Genomic DNA, 17,552 nt, shown 5'->3' on the forward strand with positions numbered 1-17,552 from the left:
CTGATACCAAATGTGGGGACAGGACATTCCCACACCAACCAGTACTCCAACTCTCCAGGCACCAATTGTGCCCTACAATTTAATTATGACACTAAACTACCTGGAGTTAGTGCAGACCCCTCAGGTTAAGTGGTCAGTTCCACAAGACTGTCCCCCAGCTTGGATGCGAATTACAAGTAGTGAGTCCCAGGTTACCCATGCTTCTGTCCAACTTGACTACAAACAGAGAGTTTTTATGACAGCCTCTTCAGGTTTGATCCTTTGCTGTAATGGCTTCAAATTCAGGGAAATATTTACTTGCATTTACTGATTTATTATAAAGAATATAACCAAGGATACAAGTGAACAGCCAGATGAAGAGATACACAGAGTGAGATCTGGAAGGGTCCCAAGCCCAGGAGCTCTGTCCTGTGAAATTGGGATGCATCACCCTTCCTGCACATGGCCGTGTTCACCAACCTGGAAGCTCTCTCAACGCCATACTTTAGGGAATTTTAGGGAGGTATAACTGACCATTACCTCAATCTCTAGCCCCTTTTCCCTTTCTGAAGAATGGGGAGTAGGACTGAAAGTTCCAAGCTCTAACCATGGCCATGGGGGCTACCAGCTCCCATTCTGAAGCTAGCCTAGCCAGAAGCCTATCCAAAGTTGCCTCATTAGAACACAAGATGATTTTATCCCCCTCAGGAAATTCTAAGGGATTTAGGCCATTCTGTGTCAAGAACCAGGATCAAAGACCACATTATACAAAAGATGTTTCTAATACTCCTAGCACTTAGGAAATTACAAGGGTGTTAGGAGCTCTATGGCAGGAACCAGGGACAGAGACCAAATATATTATATTTTATTATGTTACAGTGTCTGACCCTGGAGTATGGTAGTTTTCTTGCAACTGGGCAAAGCGATGAGGTCACTGCACTACAATATTCTAGAGATGGTAGAATCTCAGATAGAAATGACTCTGTGAAACTGGGAACCAAGCAGCATAGCTTTGGAGGTCCCAGCAAAGATTCCCTTAGCTGAGCTTAGTGGGAGTGTGGAAGAGTGTTGGAGGGACTGTATGCGATGCTAGTTGTTTGTATACCCTTAAAGGCCTGAGGCATAAGAGAAAATAGCTCCACTTCAACTGAGTTATCTTCCATTTTTCTTGGCAATGTAAGATTGAGGTTCTTGTAAGATCCAAGAGTGTCAACTAAGCCCTGATAGCCAACCTTCCCATCAACCTTGGTAAAGGGGTGTCAGAAGCAGATTTCTTTTATTTAGAAAAATTAAGACATGCAAATGTCATTGTATTCCGGAAGCTATGGGGCAATTCAGATCTGTTTAAAGTCTCCAACAGGGGGACTCCCGGAGGCTGTGGAGGCAGCGCAGGCCCAGAGCCAGGCAGGGACAGGCCCTGAGGAGGCTCCTTGGCCGTCAGCCCACCTCAGGTCCATTGGCTGCCCCTCCGCTCCCTGCTCCAAGTCCCCGGCCGCCGCAGCCCACTGGGAGTCCTGCTAAGGGAAGCTGAGAAAGGGGGTCCTGGGAAAGCGTTCCTAGTGCTCCTGAGGAAAGCTGCGACAAGATGGCAGCTCCCAGTGGGAGATGGAGGCCGAGTCTCTCTGCTCTCAGGAGGCCAGGCTGCTGCCTTTCTAACCCAACCATCTGGCTCTCAGCCCTCACCATCATGGCAGCTCTCACCAGGTCTGCTGCCTACACAGACTATGGTGTTCCAGGGAGTAGGATCCTGGCAGTCGCAGTGGCGGAGGGCGGGAGCACCTTCTTAATGTTTCTGTGAGGGGCCAGGATTCTGCAGCAGGTGCTCATCCCAGCAGCTTCAGGCTTTTGGTTGTTGGTTTTACACCTCTGACAAATGACATGGCCAGACACAGGGTAATGTCTGAAAAAACCTCTGTAGAAGAGCAGGATGCATGGGGCATGCTGCAGCTCACATAGCAGCCGCCAAGCACATGGGAGCCTTCATCCACCCAATTTGGCCAAAGAAGCCCACATACTCTCCGTGAAAAAGATTTCCAGAAGCTATTGTGTCAAAGTCTCAAAATACACACACTCACAGAAAAAGCAAACAAACAAACAAAAAACAAAAAAACCACCAACACTAAAGGTCATTCTTGAGTCTGATTTGAAAACTAGGGTAAAATTCTGCAGAAATATTCAAGTGGCAAGCTAACATCCTAATAGCCACATCTGTAGGTCCTATCCATCATGCCAGGGAAAATGCCCCATTCACAAGTCCTCAGCTTCTGGTTCTAGTTTTAGGGTTTGCTCTATAGTTAAAGGTAGAAGGTACGTTACCCACTTACTCTTATTCACAGATCTGAATATGGAGGTCAGCAGGGGAAAGTGACATGTCCTAAGTTAGAGTAGAGTCAACAAGAAAACAAGACAAACAATAACTGAGCCCCTAGTGTATACTGGGCATTGGCGAGCTGCTGGAGAAAACACAGTTCCTTCTTCAAGGAGCTCCATCCTCTTTGCAGGCAGGACAGGTTTCCCTGCGGCTGAAGGAAGCTTGAAATTAGGATAATGAGGTTGAGCAGGGAGGGGCCACCACGCTGCCCTGAGAGGATCGTGTATGGACACAGAGCTGTGGCATGGCCCGGCTTTGACCCTCTAGCTGTGTTGTGGGGTGAGGTAGGTGCTGGAGTGGCCTCCTGCTTAAGATGGAATAACAAGGAGCAGATTTACCTTCCCACCTGAAACAACTAAAAACTTGAACAAAATATATGAAGCAAACATTTTCAGGACATTGGACATCAGGCAATGAAGGCCAGTGATATCTGAGAGAGAGGAAACAAATGAGGTGAGCCCTGTAAGTGCCCCCAACTTATTGCCTAGAAACAGTTTCGAAGTGTGGTCCAGGGAGGGTAATTTCCAAGTATTTGAAAAATAAGTGACACACCTATACATTATCTATGGATCAAAACAGAATTTGAAATGGGAATTAAAAAGTATTTTGAAGTGAAAGAAAATGAAAATGTAAGATATGAGTATTTGTGGGATTCCAATAAAGCAGTGCATAGGAGGAAGTTTACAGCACTCATCCCCTATATTAGAAGAAAGGTCTCAAATCAATGACTTCAGTTTCCACCCAAGAAACCAGACAAACAGGAGAGAATTAAACCCAAAACAAGCAGAAAAAAAGGGTTGGGCTTTATTATAACAACAATTAGCTGTGTGACCTGGGCAAGTATTGTTCTCTCTGGTTCTGCCTGATTTTATCACTTGAAAAATGAGGATTGTAAACGATATTAGTGTTTTCCAAAGTATGGGCCTGCTGCACAAGAATCATAAGGGAGTTGGTAAGAAATGCTAATTTCTAAGCCCTGCCCCAGATCTAGGAAATCAAAATTTCTGAGTAGGGCCGGAGAACCTTTCTCTCTCTCTCCCCTTCACACACACACACACACACAATTATATATATGTTATATATGTATATGGATACGTATCTGATATATATAACATATATATTGGAGACAGGGTCTCACTCTGAGGCCCAGGCTGGAGTGCAGTGGCACAAACATGGCTTACCACAGCCTCAACCTCCTGGGCTCAAGCAATCCTCCTGCCTCAGTCTCCCCAAGTAGCTGGGACCACAGGTACTGGCCACCTCTCTTGGTTAATTTTTTTTTTTTTTGTAGAGATGGGATCTCTCCATGTTGCCCAAGCTAGTCTCAAATATCTCGGCTCAAGGAATCTTCCCATGCTGGTCTCACAAAGTGCTGAATTTACAGGCATTAAGCTACCAAGCCCAGCCTGAGAATCTGTATATTTAAACACAATAGTAATAGAATGTTCTAAGAGAGAAAGTGTCCTCCTTCTTGGTGGCATTCTGTTCAGTGACATGACTTCTGAAGAGATGCAAGGTAGGCAGTCTCAGCTCTGAACAGGAGGGGGTCTCAGCTTCATATAACCTCTGTCCACCTGTAACTCAAGCAGTTCAGTCATCATGGAAGACTGTAAGAGCCTAGACATGAGGATAGTAACAATGGCCAGGATGGACTAACCATAGGGATCTTTCATTCATCTTATAATATTAGATAAGCCTCATAGTCTTATCATCCCTTCCGAGGTAGGGGAAGGAGTCTGATTATTACATAGGCTGGTTCCCAGCTCTTCCAACAATGTGGGAGCTGATGATGTGATTTAATTTGCTTCATTTCATTTCTGCCTATTTATGTTCCATAATTTATTTATTTAATGTATAAATGCTTTATTATGTCTTTGAACCACATCAACAAATTTATTCTGACCTATTTTCAGGCTATTCTCTAAAATAATTTTTATTCGGGTGAATTACTGTTTCTGAATTATACTACCAAGTCTTCTGTTCCTTGGCTGTCCTTTGAGAAATTAGACTTCTTCATGTGTTTTTGAACTTTGGTTTGCAGGCTCATTTTGAGCATCCCCTTCAAACTTTTCCCTCCCTAAGAATTTAGTGGTTTTCTTTACCTAGCCCAGCCCTTTCACTCCTAAACCAGAATCAGGTTTACAATCCAGCTTGGGATGTACTGCCCCTAGGGGACATTGTGGAGTATAGCAGATCCATTACCGAGTCTGCATGGTGCTGGCTCGGTTCCTGGGAGTCACACTTCGTCTTCGCCCTTTGTCTCTTCAGGTTTGCAGCTTCATCTGAAGCCATAGTCATAATAGAGCAGCGAGCGTTGTTTGCCTCTGGCATCACATAGGAAGCCTGGCTCTGCTCCAGGTCTCACTCACATTTAAAACTCCTTTTCCCATAGGGACCAAACCCTCAGTCACTAGTGTCTACTTCCAGAGCTCAGACAACCCACGATTTATGGTTTTCTTTTGTTTCTGGTCCACGGAGATGTTTATCTTGTACCAGAGCCTAGTTAGATCTTCCCGCTTTTTTTTTCTTTTTAAAAAATATTTCATCTGTCATTGCTTTTTGTTCACAGAAGGTGAATTCACTGCATTTTGATCATTATAAAAGTCTGAATTAATTCATTTGAAAATGGTAAATAAATGACATTTCTTTCAAGCACAAGTCTCTGGAGTGAGATCCACATCCTCTACAACAACATAAGAAATCCTTGTGGAAGACACCTCTGATTAACTCCTATTTATTCCTCCACTTGACAGAGCCTGAGCATCGATATCTTCTATTAATATTTGTGGTATGTTGTACAAGTTGGTTCTTGTTGATTTGCTAGAAATGTTATGTGTGTGCATGCACCATTCTCCAAATAATCTGCCAACCGCTTAAAATCAGGGACCATGACTTATCATTAAAGTGTTCCCTAAATGACATATTTTCTGGTAGCCACACACAGTAAGCTTCAATATAAATATCAATTATCTGATTGATTTACTCCAGGTATCCCAAATTTTCTTAATCAAGTGCACTATGACGCTTAATAAAAATATTTATATATCCAAAGGTAATGTTGAAATAAAAAAATGGACAACTATATACAACATAGAAATGTGTACACATATTTGACACTTTCGGGGGGGATTTCCTTGCTACATGCTTTGAGAGTTAGTGCCTATTGACCTTCAACTTGGAAAACATTGTACAGTTATTTACAATCCATTTTGCATTTATACGGAGACAGAAAAATTCCCCATGAAAGGGGCCTCCAGCCTTGCCTATCAGGAAGTCAGCTACCTGTGACCAGAGAGCCTGAGTACATTTTTTCTGGGAGCAGGTGTTAACCCACCCCCACTAGTTAAGAGCCTGCAGGGCCCCTACCTTTGGGAGATAAAGAGGCAGTCTGTGTGGGGTCCCTTCTCCTCCACAGAGCCATTTGTTACTGGGGTTACACCCCCTGCAGGAATCTTTCAATGCTCTTTAAATCGTGGGCATGCACAATGCACCTGACCTTGTTCAAAGCCAGGGGTTGCACTGCCCCAGGCAAAGACTGAAGAAATCCAACAAAATACATCTTACCAGGCTTTTTCTACTCTGTTGCATGGAAAGGCTCCTGTGTCTGACAACCAAAATACTTGTTAGTTTTCCCTTTTTTTCTTTTCACTCCAATAACTTAATTAATGCACACCATCAGTTGTTCATAATTCAGCAATAAGAATCTTTCCTTTGATAAGATGCAGCCAGTGGGAAAAACACAAAACTTTGTATCCTCTGCATTTTAGATCACTTATTTAGTTCTGAGAAGAATTTTTTTTTGGCATGTGCGCCCCTTATGGAATCAGGAATGGACTTTGTGCAAAGAAAGCATGTTTTATCCTGTAGAAAGAATAAAACCCTTTGGAGGGTGGCATTTACTCAAGGGAACAGATGCCTGCAGGGTGTTCTCCTCACGGTGGGGGTGGCTGGTGACAAGGTGTGACATCTGCAGAAGAAATACAGGCAAGCACTTTAGCCCCCAAGTACTTCCCAGTAGAGAGTGGGCTTACTCACAACACAATAGTCGAAATCTGGCTCATGCTTGTTAAGCAATTCACTCAGAACTTTACCCACCCAATGGTATCTGTATTTTAATTACAGGAAAAAGGACTTGAAATTTGTGGGAGGCTACCACTTCCGCCACATACTCATGCACACACGTGCAATTCCTTGCTGAGAGTGGCAAAGACAATAAAGGAATTCACTGTAGGAGGTGTGTTCATGTATCTGTATGAGATTATGAGGGATACTTAACAAAAGTGGCATTTGCTAAGTGATTGAAAGATTATCCTTATACTCCAGGTTTCTTTTCCAGTTTCAGCTTAGGCTCACAAAGACAAACTAGATAGTTCCTGCATTCTGAAAACCCTGTGAAATGGACTGGTTCGAACGGGCAGTTTATAACATGATACTTTTAGATTGGAAGGCCCAGTGAGGTGAGGATCTTGAAGTACTCACTCCCTGAGAAGTTATTCTCAAAATGAAAACAGTTTAAATAGGTGGACAGGAACAGGTATTTATGAAGCAAAGAGTTAGGCTAATTTTTGCTTGGTCTCAATCATATTTAACATAGGGAGAGAAAAGTATTCCTGGTCCCAGAATTGGTTAGCACAAGACATGGGAATTCTATTGGTTTCAATTCTTGGGACTGGGAGGGACCTCAGGAAGATGGCATAATAGCATTCTCCAGGTCCATCTCCCTGCAGGAACATCAATTTGAAAAAGTATCTATGCATGAAAATACACTCACAAGAGCTAAGGAAACCAGGTGAGAAAATACAGTACCTGGGCATAGTGATTCTTGTGACTCATGAGGAAAAAATTATTTTAAAGTATATTCCTGTTATTTTCTTTTTTTTTTATCCAATTTAGATAACATGGTCAGTCACTTGAATAATGATCTTACTATCATAAACACTTCCTTGACTACTATCCTGTTGTACTAGCCCACAGAGTGCTAAACATGGAGTAATTCTAAACTGCAGTTACTTTTGCACCAACCTAATACAACTTGTAATGAAGATTGTTTTTCATATCTGGTTCCAACTGTCTGTTGGTGGTGGCTTTGAGCAGCAGTGTACAAAGAAACAAGCTGAGCTCAGAAGAAACAAGTGCATGAGTGGATCACCCTGTCTATTATGGACACAAGTGGAGAGTAGTGAGAGGTTCAACTTTATACTTAAGTCTCAAAATGTCTATCTCTATTGTCTCTATTGGACTTCGGACCTGCACATTCAACTACCCACTGGGTAATCTTATCTGGATGTCCCAACTACCTCAATCTGTACATGCCTAAAATTAAAATAAAAGTGGGTTAACTGATCCATCAAATTGGCATCATGATCCCTATTAGCATTGTGTTCCAGGCAGCCATTACCACATTTCAGATTAGTACTCAATTCAAAATAAACCCTCTTTGCCATCTGACTAAGGAAACTTGCTCTGATGGTGGAATTATAGGCATCAGCAATGGGGGTAAGGGAAAAAGTTGATGGGATGGTGGAAACGCAGTGTCTTAAAATCTTACCCATTTCACCTTTCCTGGCCCTGAGTACAGAAATAAGATCACAGGGAAAAATTCAAACTATGCTTGCTCTCAAGTGGAGTGATAGAAACTAGAAAAAATGAAGGTAATAAAACTTTTAGACTTTCTTTACAATATCCTATTTAGCTTATATATATCTGCCCATCTCCCTTAACTTCCTCTCCTTAGCCCCCAATATTTTTATTGTCAGATGGTCATTAGGACAAAAGCTTATTTATCTGAAGAATTATAGTGTCAGTCCCATGTAGGATGGTCTATGTGTTTACGCAAAAGTGCTCCGTGACACAAACAAGACACTTACGCCCCTTAGTTGCCTTGAGACATAAAACTGATTGATGTCTCAAAGCAACTAAGGGGTCTCTACTGGTAGCCAGGATTACCGTTTCCTTGTAGGAAAACTGGTAGAGAAAATTGAGTTCTTATAATAAATTCCATAACAGCAGCTTAGCTGTAAATGATTTTTTAAAAGTCATTTGACTGTGCAAACTGGTTAGAGCATAAATATTTTAATGATATTTCAAGAGCTTAATGTCAACCATCAGTGTCCAATAAATGAAAATTACTTTTAGTGATACATCTGGAAATATGATGGTTTTTTGAGCCAAAGTCTCTCAAGCTTTGCATAGAATCTGAATTTTTATTTTTACTCTGTGCCTGTTATATAAACTTCTTATATTTGTTAGAGGAAAAGAAGATAAATTGGACACTACCTGGGATATTGAAAAATGAATAAAATGTTAAGACATGTTAAATTTATTGTTGGCTCATTGAGGGAAAGAAAGTCAATAATTTATTTAAGAAAAACAATTTTACTTAAAGAAAGGGCAATATTTTAATAAGCAGAAATAGGAGAGGGAATATATTTTCAAATGAAAGCAGCACCACTGGAATGAAAAATGTAATGTGCCAAAGTCGCTACTTTGAAGGGGAGCGTGCTCATCTGAATGTAAAATCTTGTTATATTCCTGTAAAACCCTAACTTTATTTTCATTCTTATCTGTTTAATCATTTAACTAATATTTATCAAATACCCACTCTGTGTAATGGTGTTGTGGGAGGAAATTGTGGGGCCACAAAGACCCCGGTGAAGGAACGCCAGAGCATGTGAAAGCAGAAGATGCATCATCAAAGGATACCCGAAGATGTCTAAAAGAAGCTCGGTGGGAAAGCTGAGTGCTTGGAAGAACCAGGGTAACAATGTGACAAAGTGAAAGCAGACATTCTGCTTAAGTTCTTTAAAGCATTTGTTATGAAGTGGGGGAGTAAAAGTTAGGACTCAGAGTTTGTTATCACTTTTTAGTACAGTAAGGCAGTTTTGCCCATGGTTCCTGGAACAGGGACTATGGAGTTGGATGAATGGGAGAGAATTGGAAGAGATTTTTTTTTTTAATTATACTTTAAGTTTTAGGGTACATGTGCACAATGTGCAGGTTTGTTACATATGTATACATGTGCCATGCTGGTGTGCTGCACCCATTAACTTGTCATTTAACATTAGGTATATCTCCTAATGCTATCCCTCCCCCCTCCCCCCACCCCACAACAGGCCCCGGTGTGTGATGTTCCTCTTCCAGTGTCCATGTGTTCTCATTGTTCAATTCCCACCTATGAGTGAGAACATGCGGTGTTTGGTTTTTTGTCCTTGTGATAGTTTGCCGAGAATGATGGTTTCTAGCTTCATCCATGTCCCTACAAAGGACATGAACTCATCCTTTTTTATGGCTGCATAGTATTCCATGGTGTATATGTGCCACATTTTCTTAATCCAGTCTATCATTGTTGGACATTTGGCTTGGTTCCAAGTCTTTGCTATTGTGAATAGTGCTGCAATAAACATACCTGTGCATGTGTCTTTATAGCAGCATGATTTGTAATCCTTTGGGTATATACCCAGTAATGGGATGGCTAGGTCAAATGGTATTTCTAGTTCTAGATCCCTGAGGAATCGCCACACTGACTTCCACCATGGTTGAACTAGTTTACAGTCCCATCAACAGTGTAAAAGTGTTCCTATTTCTCCACGTCCTCTCCAGCATCTGTTGTTTCCTGACTTTTTAATGATTGCCATTCTAACTGGTGTGAGATGGTATCTCATTGTGGTTTTGATTTGCATTTCTCTGATGGCCAGTGATGATGAGCATTTTTTCATGTGTCTTTTGGCTGCATAAATGTCTTCTTTTGAGAAGTGTCTGTTCATATCCTTTCACCCAATTGTTGATGGGTTTTTTTTTTCTCTTGTAAATTTGTTTGAGTTCATTGTAGATTCTGGATATTAGCCCTTTGTCAGATGAGTAGATTGCAAAAATTTTCTCCCATTCTGTAGGTTGCCTGTTCACTCTGATGGTAGTTTTTTTGCTGTGCAGAAGCTCTTTAGTTTAATTAGATCCCATTTGTCAATTTTGGCTTTTGTTGCCATTGCTTTTGGTGTTTTAGACATGAAGTCCTTGCCCATGCCTATGTCCTGAACGGTATTGCCTAGGTTTTCTTCTAGGGTTTTGATGGTTTCAGGTCTAACATTTAAGTCTTTAATCCATCTTGAATTAATTTTTGTATAAAGTGTAAGGAAGGGATCCAGTTTCAGCTTTCTACACATGGCTAACCAGTTTTCCCAGCACCATTTATTAAATAGGGAATCCTTTCCCCATTTCTTGTTTTTGTCAGGTTCGTCAAAGATCAGATGGTTGTAGATATGCGGCATTATTTCTGAGGGCTCTGTTCTGTTCCCTTGGTCTATATCTCTGTTTTGGTACCAGTACCATGCTGTTTTGGTTACTGTAGCCTTGTAGTATAGTTTGAAGTCAGGTAGTGTGATGCCTCCAGCTTTGTTCTTTTGGCTTAGGATTGATTTGGCAATGCGGGCTCTTTTTTGGTTCCATATGAACTTTAAAGTAGTTTTTTCCAATTCTGTGAAGAAAGTCATTGGTAGCTTGATGGGGACGGCATTGAATCTATAAATTACCTTGGGCAGTATGGCCATTTTCATGATATCGATTCTTCCTACTCATGAGCATGGAATGTTCTTCCATTTGTTTGTATCCTCTTTTATTTCATTGAGCAGTGGTTTGTAGTTCTCCTTGAAGAGGTCCTTCACGTCCCTTGTAAGTTGGATTCCTAAGTATTTTATTCTCTTTGAAGCAATTGTGAATTGGAAGAGATTTTTTTTTAAAAAGGTGTATAAAGACAGAGCAGTGACGGGTACCACGGAGGGTGCTGCTGAGGCGATGATAGCAGAGGGGCCCAAGGAAGTCCGAGGCTGTCCTCTGGGGCATGACGAGGGCGGAGGGGACCAGGAGCCCGTCCCTTCCCTGAGGGGCCCTCCTGCCGCCATCCCATGCCCCCGCGCCGGCCCCCAGGCCACCGCCGCTGATGGGTCGGAGCCACCCCGCGGGCTCAGGAGGAGCCGGGAGGCGACCTCGGGCTCCCTTGCGGGGCTGCAGGAGCAGGTAGGCTGCTTGAAGTGTCGGAAGCTGCGGCGCCGTGGGAGAGGCCGGCGCGGCTGAGCGCCCTTGGGTGCTCCTGGCGAGTGCACGAGTGACTGTGGCAGTCCTGCTGCGGCTACCTCACCTGGCGCAGTGGCCCGGCTACACTCCCCGACTGCTGTAGCCCCCAACCGTCCCGGCAGAGCTTCTCTTTGGAGGCACTGCCGTCCCCCAGGCCGCGGCGCCGCCATCCCCACGGCTGGGCTATTACAACCCCTTCTACTTCCTGAGCCCCAGGGCCGCGGGGGCTTGACCCGGGGGCAGCTGCTGGCATCAGCACCCCTGCTACAGTCACGGGCCTGGGACCCTGGGTTCCTCATGTGCAGGCGTCAATCCGGGCCACTCCAGTGACAAAGGTAGGATCTGCAGCCCCTTCCCGAAGCCAGAGTGAGACCGGGCAACCGGCAGGCAAAGAATAAGTTATTCCATCCTTGGGCCACGGGTGGCAAGGATGGTGGATTTCTTTATTATCTTCTTTGTAAAAGCAACCATTGTCTTAAGCATTATGCACCTCAGTGGGATAAAGGATATCTCTAAGTTTGCTATGCATTATATAATGGAAGAAATAGATGAGGACACATCAACGGAAGACTTGCTGAAAATGATGGTTATGGCTCTTATATACAGATTATTAGTTTGTTTTTATGAGATAATTTTCATTTGGGGAGCAGGTGGAGCTACCCCAGGGAAGCTCCTGGTGGGGCTTCGAGTTGTGACATGTGATACATTAGTGCTTATTGCACTAAGTCGTGTTTTAGTGATTCCTTTTTCAAATGTTAGCATTACAACGTCCACTATACGAGCTTTGATCAAGAATTTTTTGATTGCTTCTTTTTTCCCTGCTTTTATCACACTGTTGTTTCTTCAACATAATCGAACAGCCTATGACATTGTAGCAGGAACCATTGTGGTAAAAAGAAATGGGGTCAGAGATGCCCCCCCAAAGACCTGATTTCCACACGCTATAATGACAAGACTAAATTATGTATCAAGGCCATCAGTATCCCTGGGTTCCACTAACTGATGATTTAGAAATTAAAGCAATCACTCCAGTGTGATGCAGCTGACTACTCTGAAAGTTTTGATTGTACTTGAATGCCAAAAACTTTTCCAGAAGAAAAACCTATTAAATTCAAGTATTAAAATTTTTAGATCAAAAAGGCAAATGATTTTATAAACAATGAACAATATATACTTTCTTAAGATCTAAGGTACTTTCATAAGATCTAAGAATTTGCTGAAAGCATTTTCAGCTTTGAAATCTCCAAATGAAACTTTAAAATTGATTTTGGTTTATCCCAAAACAATGGAAAATGTCCAGTTGTGTTTTGTAAACATGTATGTAACTCATCTTTTAGTTCACACTTCCTGGGGAGCCACCAAAGAAGGTCCCCATGGGAGCTAGGGGACCCTTACCCTCAGGAACAGTCAGTCTATTACTTGGAAGGTCTAAATTTAAAAGATGTTACTGTACATACAGGAATAATTGACTCTGATTATACTGGAGAGATTCAATTAGTTATTAGTTCCTCGACTCCTTGATCTGCCTCCCCAAGAAAAAGAATTGCTCAGTTGTTGCTGTTACCTTACATAAAACTAGGAAGCAGCACAGTGAAAAGAACAGGAGGCTTTGGTAATACTAATCCAGCATGAAGGGCCGTGCACTGGGTTAATCAAGTATCTGACAAAAGACCTATTTGCACAGTAACTATTCAGGGAAAAGATTTTGAAGGAGTAGAAGATACTGGAGCTGATGTCTCTATTATTGCTGTAAATCAATGGCCCTGGCACTGGCCTAAGCAAAAGGCATCCATTGGTATTGTTGGAGTAGGAGCTGCCTTCAGAGTTCTTTGATTTTACCATGTCAAGGGCTGGATGGTCAGGAAGGGACAATTCAGCCTATCATTACACCTATTCCTGTCCATTTATGGGGTAGAGACTCATTGTAACAATGGGATGCTGAAATACCTATTCCTACGGATCAATATAGTAATCGTAGTAGACAAATGATGAAAAATATGGGATATCACCTGGGAATAGGACTAGGAAAAGATAAAAATGGCCAATCAGAACCTTTAGAATTAAAAGGGCAAATAGATCGGACCAGATTGGGGTGTCATTTTTAGAAGCGGCCATCGTTGAGCCTCTGGCTCCCATTTCTCTTGTCTGGCTAACTGCCAAACCAGTTTGGGTGGAGCAATGGCTGCTGAAACAGGAAAAACTGGAGGCTTTAAAAGAACTGGTACAGGAACAATTGCAAAAGGGACATATAGAGCCTACTTTCTCCCCTTGGAATTCTCCTGTATTTGTCATTAAGAAAAAATCAGGGAAATGGAAAACGTTAACAGATTTAAGGGCTGTTAATGCTGTGATTCAACCCATGGGCGCACTGCAACCAGGGCTGCCCTCCCCAACAATGATCCCCAAATACTGGCCTCTCATAGTGATAGATCTAAAGGATTGCTTTTTTACCATTCCTTTAGCTGCCCAAGATTATGAGAAATTTGTTTTTACTGTTCCCGCCATAAATAATAAAGAACCAGCAGACAGATACCATTGGAAAGTACTACCACAAGGCATGCTAAATAGTCAGACTATTTGTCAAACTTATGTCGGGAAAGCTATTAAGCCAGTTAGAGAACAGTTTAAAAAATGTTGTATCATCCATTCCATGGATGATATTCTGTGTGCAGCTGAAACTAGGGAAGAACTGATGTTGTGCTACAAACTGTTAGAAAAGGCTGTAAATGCAGCAGGGTTAATTATAGCCCTCGATAAAATCCAAACTTCTACTCCCTTTCAATAAAGCCATGGCTACATTTTTTCAACAATGGAATATTGCCCATACTACGGGTATTCCACATAACTCACAAGGACAAGCAATAGTGGAAAGAGCTAATTGTACTTTAAAAACTCAAATACAAAAAGCAAAAGGGAGGGGACCAGGAATATAAGACACCACATATACAATTGCATTTAACTTTATTAACATTAAATTTTTTTAACTTACAAAAAGATCAACCCATGACTGCAGCTGAACAACATTTGACAGGGCAAAAGGAAAATAAAAAGGCTGGACAAGATATATGGTGGAGGGATGCACATACAAAGAGCTAGGAAAAAGGAAAATAATCTTATGGGGAAGAGGATTTGCTTGTGTCTCTCCAGGTGACAATCAGGTACCTGTGTGGGTGCCCACCAAACATCTAAAGATCTATCATGAGCCACAGCATCTAGTGGACCCACCTGTACAGTGCAAATTGAAGGCTGAAGGATTGCTTTTAAGCCTCGATTTGCTTTCTCTGTGCCTTCTGTTAGAAGGGGCCTGCTTCTTGTTATCAATGGTAAGTTTTACCCCATGCTAATTAACCAAAGAGGCAGAAGCTGAGTTACAAATGCTTCAGCAATGGCATGCCTCCTGGCTGCAGCCACAAAAGTTTTTGCTTCTGTTTCAGTAGATTTACTAACGTGGCAGTGAGGGTAGGCTTGTGGTTTTGCAGGAGATAAGCAAAACATGTAGGTGCCCTCAAGATGTGTACGACCATGGAACAGGAGACTGGAAGGACCCATGGATCCCAACCATGGACTGGGTTCCCCCAGTATGAGCCATGCTGAGAAACTGCTGGAGTGCCAAGGTTTTACCTATAGTTGCTTAACGGACCAGTGCTTTCTGACTGAACTCCTCTCTACCCTGAATACAAGAGACCCTAATAGGTAGGATCGCCCCTATTCAGCATGAAGAAGTTACAGAAGATGGACCTTCATCCTTCTGCAACCCCTAGGATTAAGGGTCCTCTTGTAAAAGGGAAAGGGGAGATACGTGGGAAGCATTCAAACCAGAGCAACTCCATTTTGAATAAGGGCTAAGAAAAATAAAGCTGGATCACCAACCGGCAAATAAGGGCTGTACAGCCTGCAATTGCGTTGCTCAATTAATTTAAAAAAGAGGCCACCTTATGCTAATAATAATGATAGCTGTGGTGGTTTTTACAAAAAAGAGATGGGGGCCATGTTGGGAGAAAAGCTGAGTGTTGGGAGAGAAGCTGAGGCAGGGCTTGCATGTCTGCTAGACGTGTTGGCTCCTTGCTTCTAGCACTCCCATTATCTCAAGCAGCCATGTTTTTCATTCACTTGATACACTGTTTCCTTTCAACCCCCACATCCTCACCACCTGTTTGAGCATCAATAAATAGCGTGGGCTCCCAGAGCTCGAGGGCCTTTGCAGCCTCCACACTTGCGATGGCCCCCTGGTCTTACTTTCTCTCTCATACTTTTTCTCATTCCTTTGACTCTGCTGGACTTCATTGCCCTCAAGACCTGGTGTTAGGTCTTATCACCCCAACAATGACTCCCTGCTCTATGAGCTGCAGAATTGATGTTGTGTTATCAGGCAAGGAAACACATGAATCTCCTTGTACATTTTCATCAGAGCTCTGAGATGACTAGATGAATTGTCAATAAGTAGTAGTATTTTTGAAATAAATCTTTTTTTTTTCTAAGCAGTAGGTCTCAACAGTGGGCTTACAATATTCAGCAAACTATTCTGTAAACAGATGTGCTGTCATATAGACTTTGTTGTTCTATTTAAACAGCATATACAGAGTAGATTTAGTATAATTCTGAAGGGCCCTAGGATTTTTGGAATGGTAAGTGGGGTAGCTTCACTAGCTGCGTCAGCCCCTAACAAGAGAGTCGGCCTGTTTTGTGAAGCTTTAAAGTCAGGCATTGACTTCTCTCTAGCTATGAAATTACTAGATGGCATCTTCTTCCCATGGAAGGCTGCTTTGTCTATATTGAAAATCCATTGTTTAGTGTAGCCACTTTCATCAATGATCTTAGCTAGATATTCTGGATAACTTGCCGCAGCTTCTCCATCAGCACTTGCTGTTTCACCTTATGCTTTCATGTTAGGGGCATGGCTTCTTTCCTTCAACTTCATAAACCAACCTCTATTAGCTTCCAATTTTTTTTTCTCCTGCAGCTTCTTCACCTCTCTCGGCCTTCATAGAAGTGAAGAGAGTTAGGGTCTTGCTCTGGATTAGGCTTCTGCTCGGGGGAATGTTTTAGCTATCTTTAATCTGAACCACTGAAACTTTCTCCATATCAGCAACAAGACTGTTTTGCTTTCTTATTCTTATATTCACTGGAGTAGCATTTTTAATTTCCTTCAAGGACTTTTCCTTTACATTTACACTCTGGCTAACTGGTACAAGAGGCCTAGCTTTGGCCTATTTCAGCTTTTGACACCTTCACCTTCTTCACTAAGCTTAATCATTTTTAGCTTTTGATTTAAAGTGGGAAACATACAACTTTCACTTAGAGGGACTTGTAGGGTTATTAATGGTCTATTTTCAATACTGTTGCACCTCAGGGAATGGGGAGGCTGGAGGAAAGAGAGATGGAGAATGGCTTGTTGGTGTAACAGTCAGAACACACACATTTATCAATTAAGTTTGCTGTCTTATCTGGACACGGTCCATGGCCCCCCAAAACAATTACAATAGTAACAACAAAGATCACTGATCACAGGTCACCATAATGAATATAATAATAATGAAAAAGCTTGAAATATTGTGAGAATTACTAAAATGTGACACAGAGACACAAAGTGAGCACATGTTTTTGGGAAAATGGCACTGATAGATTTGTTCAATGCAGAGTTACTTCAAACCTTCAATTTGTAAAAAAAAAAAATGCAGTATCTTTGAAATGCAATGAAGTGAAGTGAAATAAAACAATGTATGTCTGTATGTAGGAGTAGGATTATTGGGCTATATGGTTAGGTGTATATTGAACTTTATAAAAGTGGCCAAACTATTTTTAGTGCGGACATACCATTTTGCACCCTCACCAGTGTGGTATGAGAGTTTCAGTTGCTCTGCAGCCTCATCAACACTTGGTATTGTCAGGTTTTTTTTTTTTGCCATTCTAATAAGTGTCTAGAAGTTATCATTGCAGTTTTAATTAGCATTTCACTAAAGACTAATGATATGAGTATCATTTCATGTGCTATTTGTCACCCATATATCTTCTTTGGTAAAGTGTTTGTTCAAATCTTTTGGCCATTGAAAAAAATTTGGTTGTTTTCTTATTGCTGAGTTTTGAGAGTTCTTTGTATGTATTAACTACAATTCCTGTGTCAGGTGTATGATTTGCA

The 17,552-nt window shown here is 41.9% G+C and overlaps 1 pseudogene; it reads left to right on the top strand.

Moving 5' to 3' along the window:
• On the top strand, window positions 11,097-12,770 carry FAM8A3P (family with sequence similarity 8 member A3, pseudogene; annotated as a pseudogene).

This window comes from Homo sapiens, chromosome 2 (assembly GCF_000001405.40).
Source record: "Homo sapiens chromosome 2, GRCh38.p14 Primary Assembly".
Taxonomy (NCBI): Eukaryota; Metazoa; Chordata; class Mammalia; order Primates; family Hominidae; genus Homo; species Homo sapiens.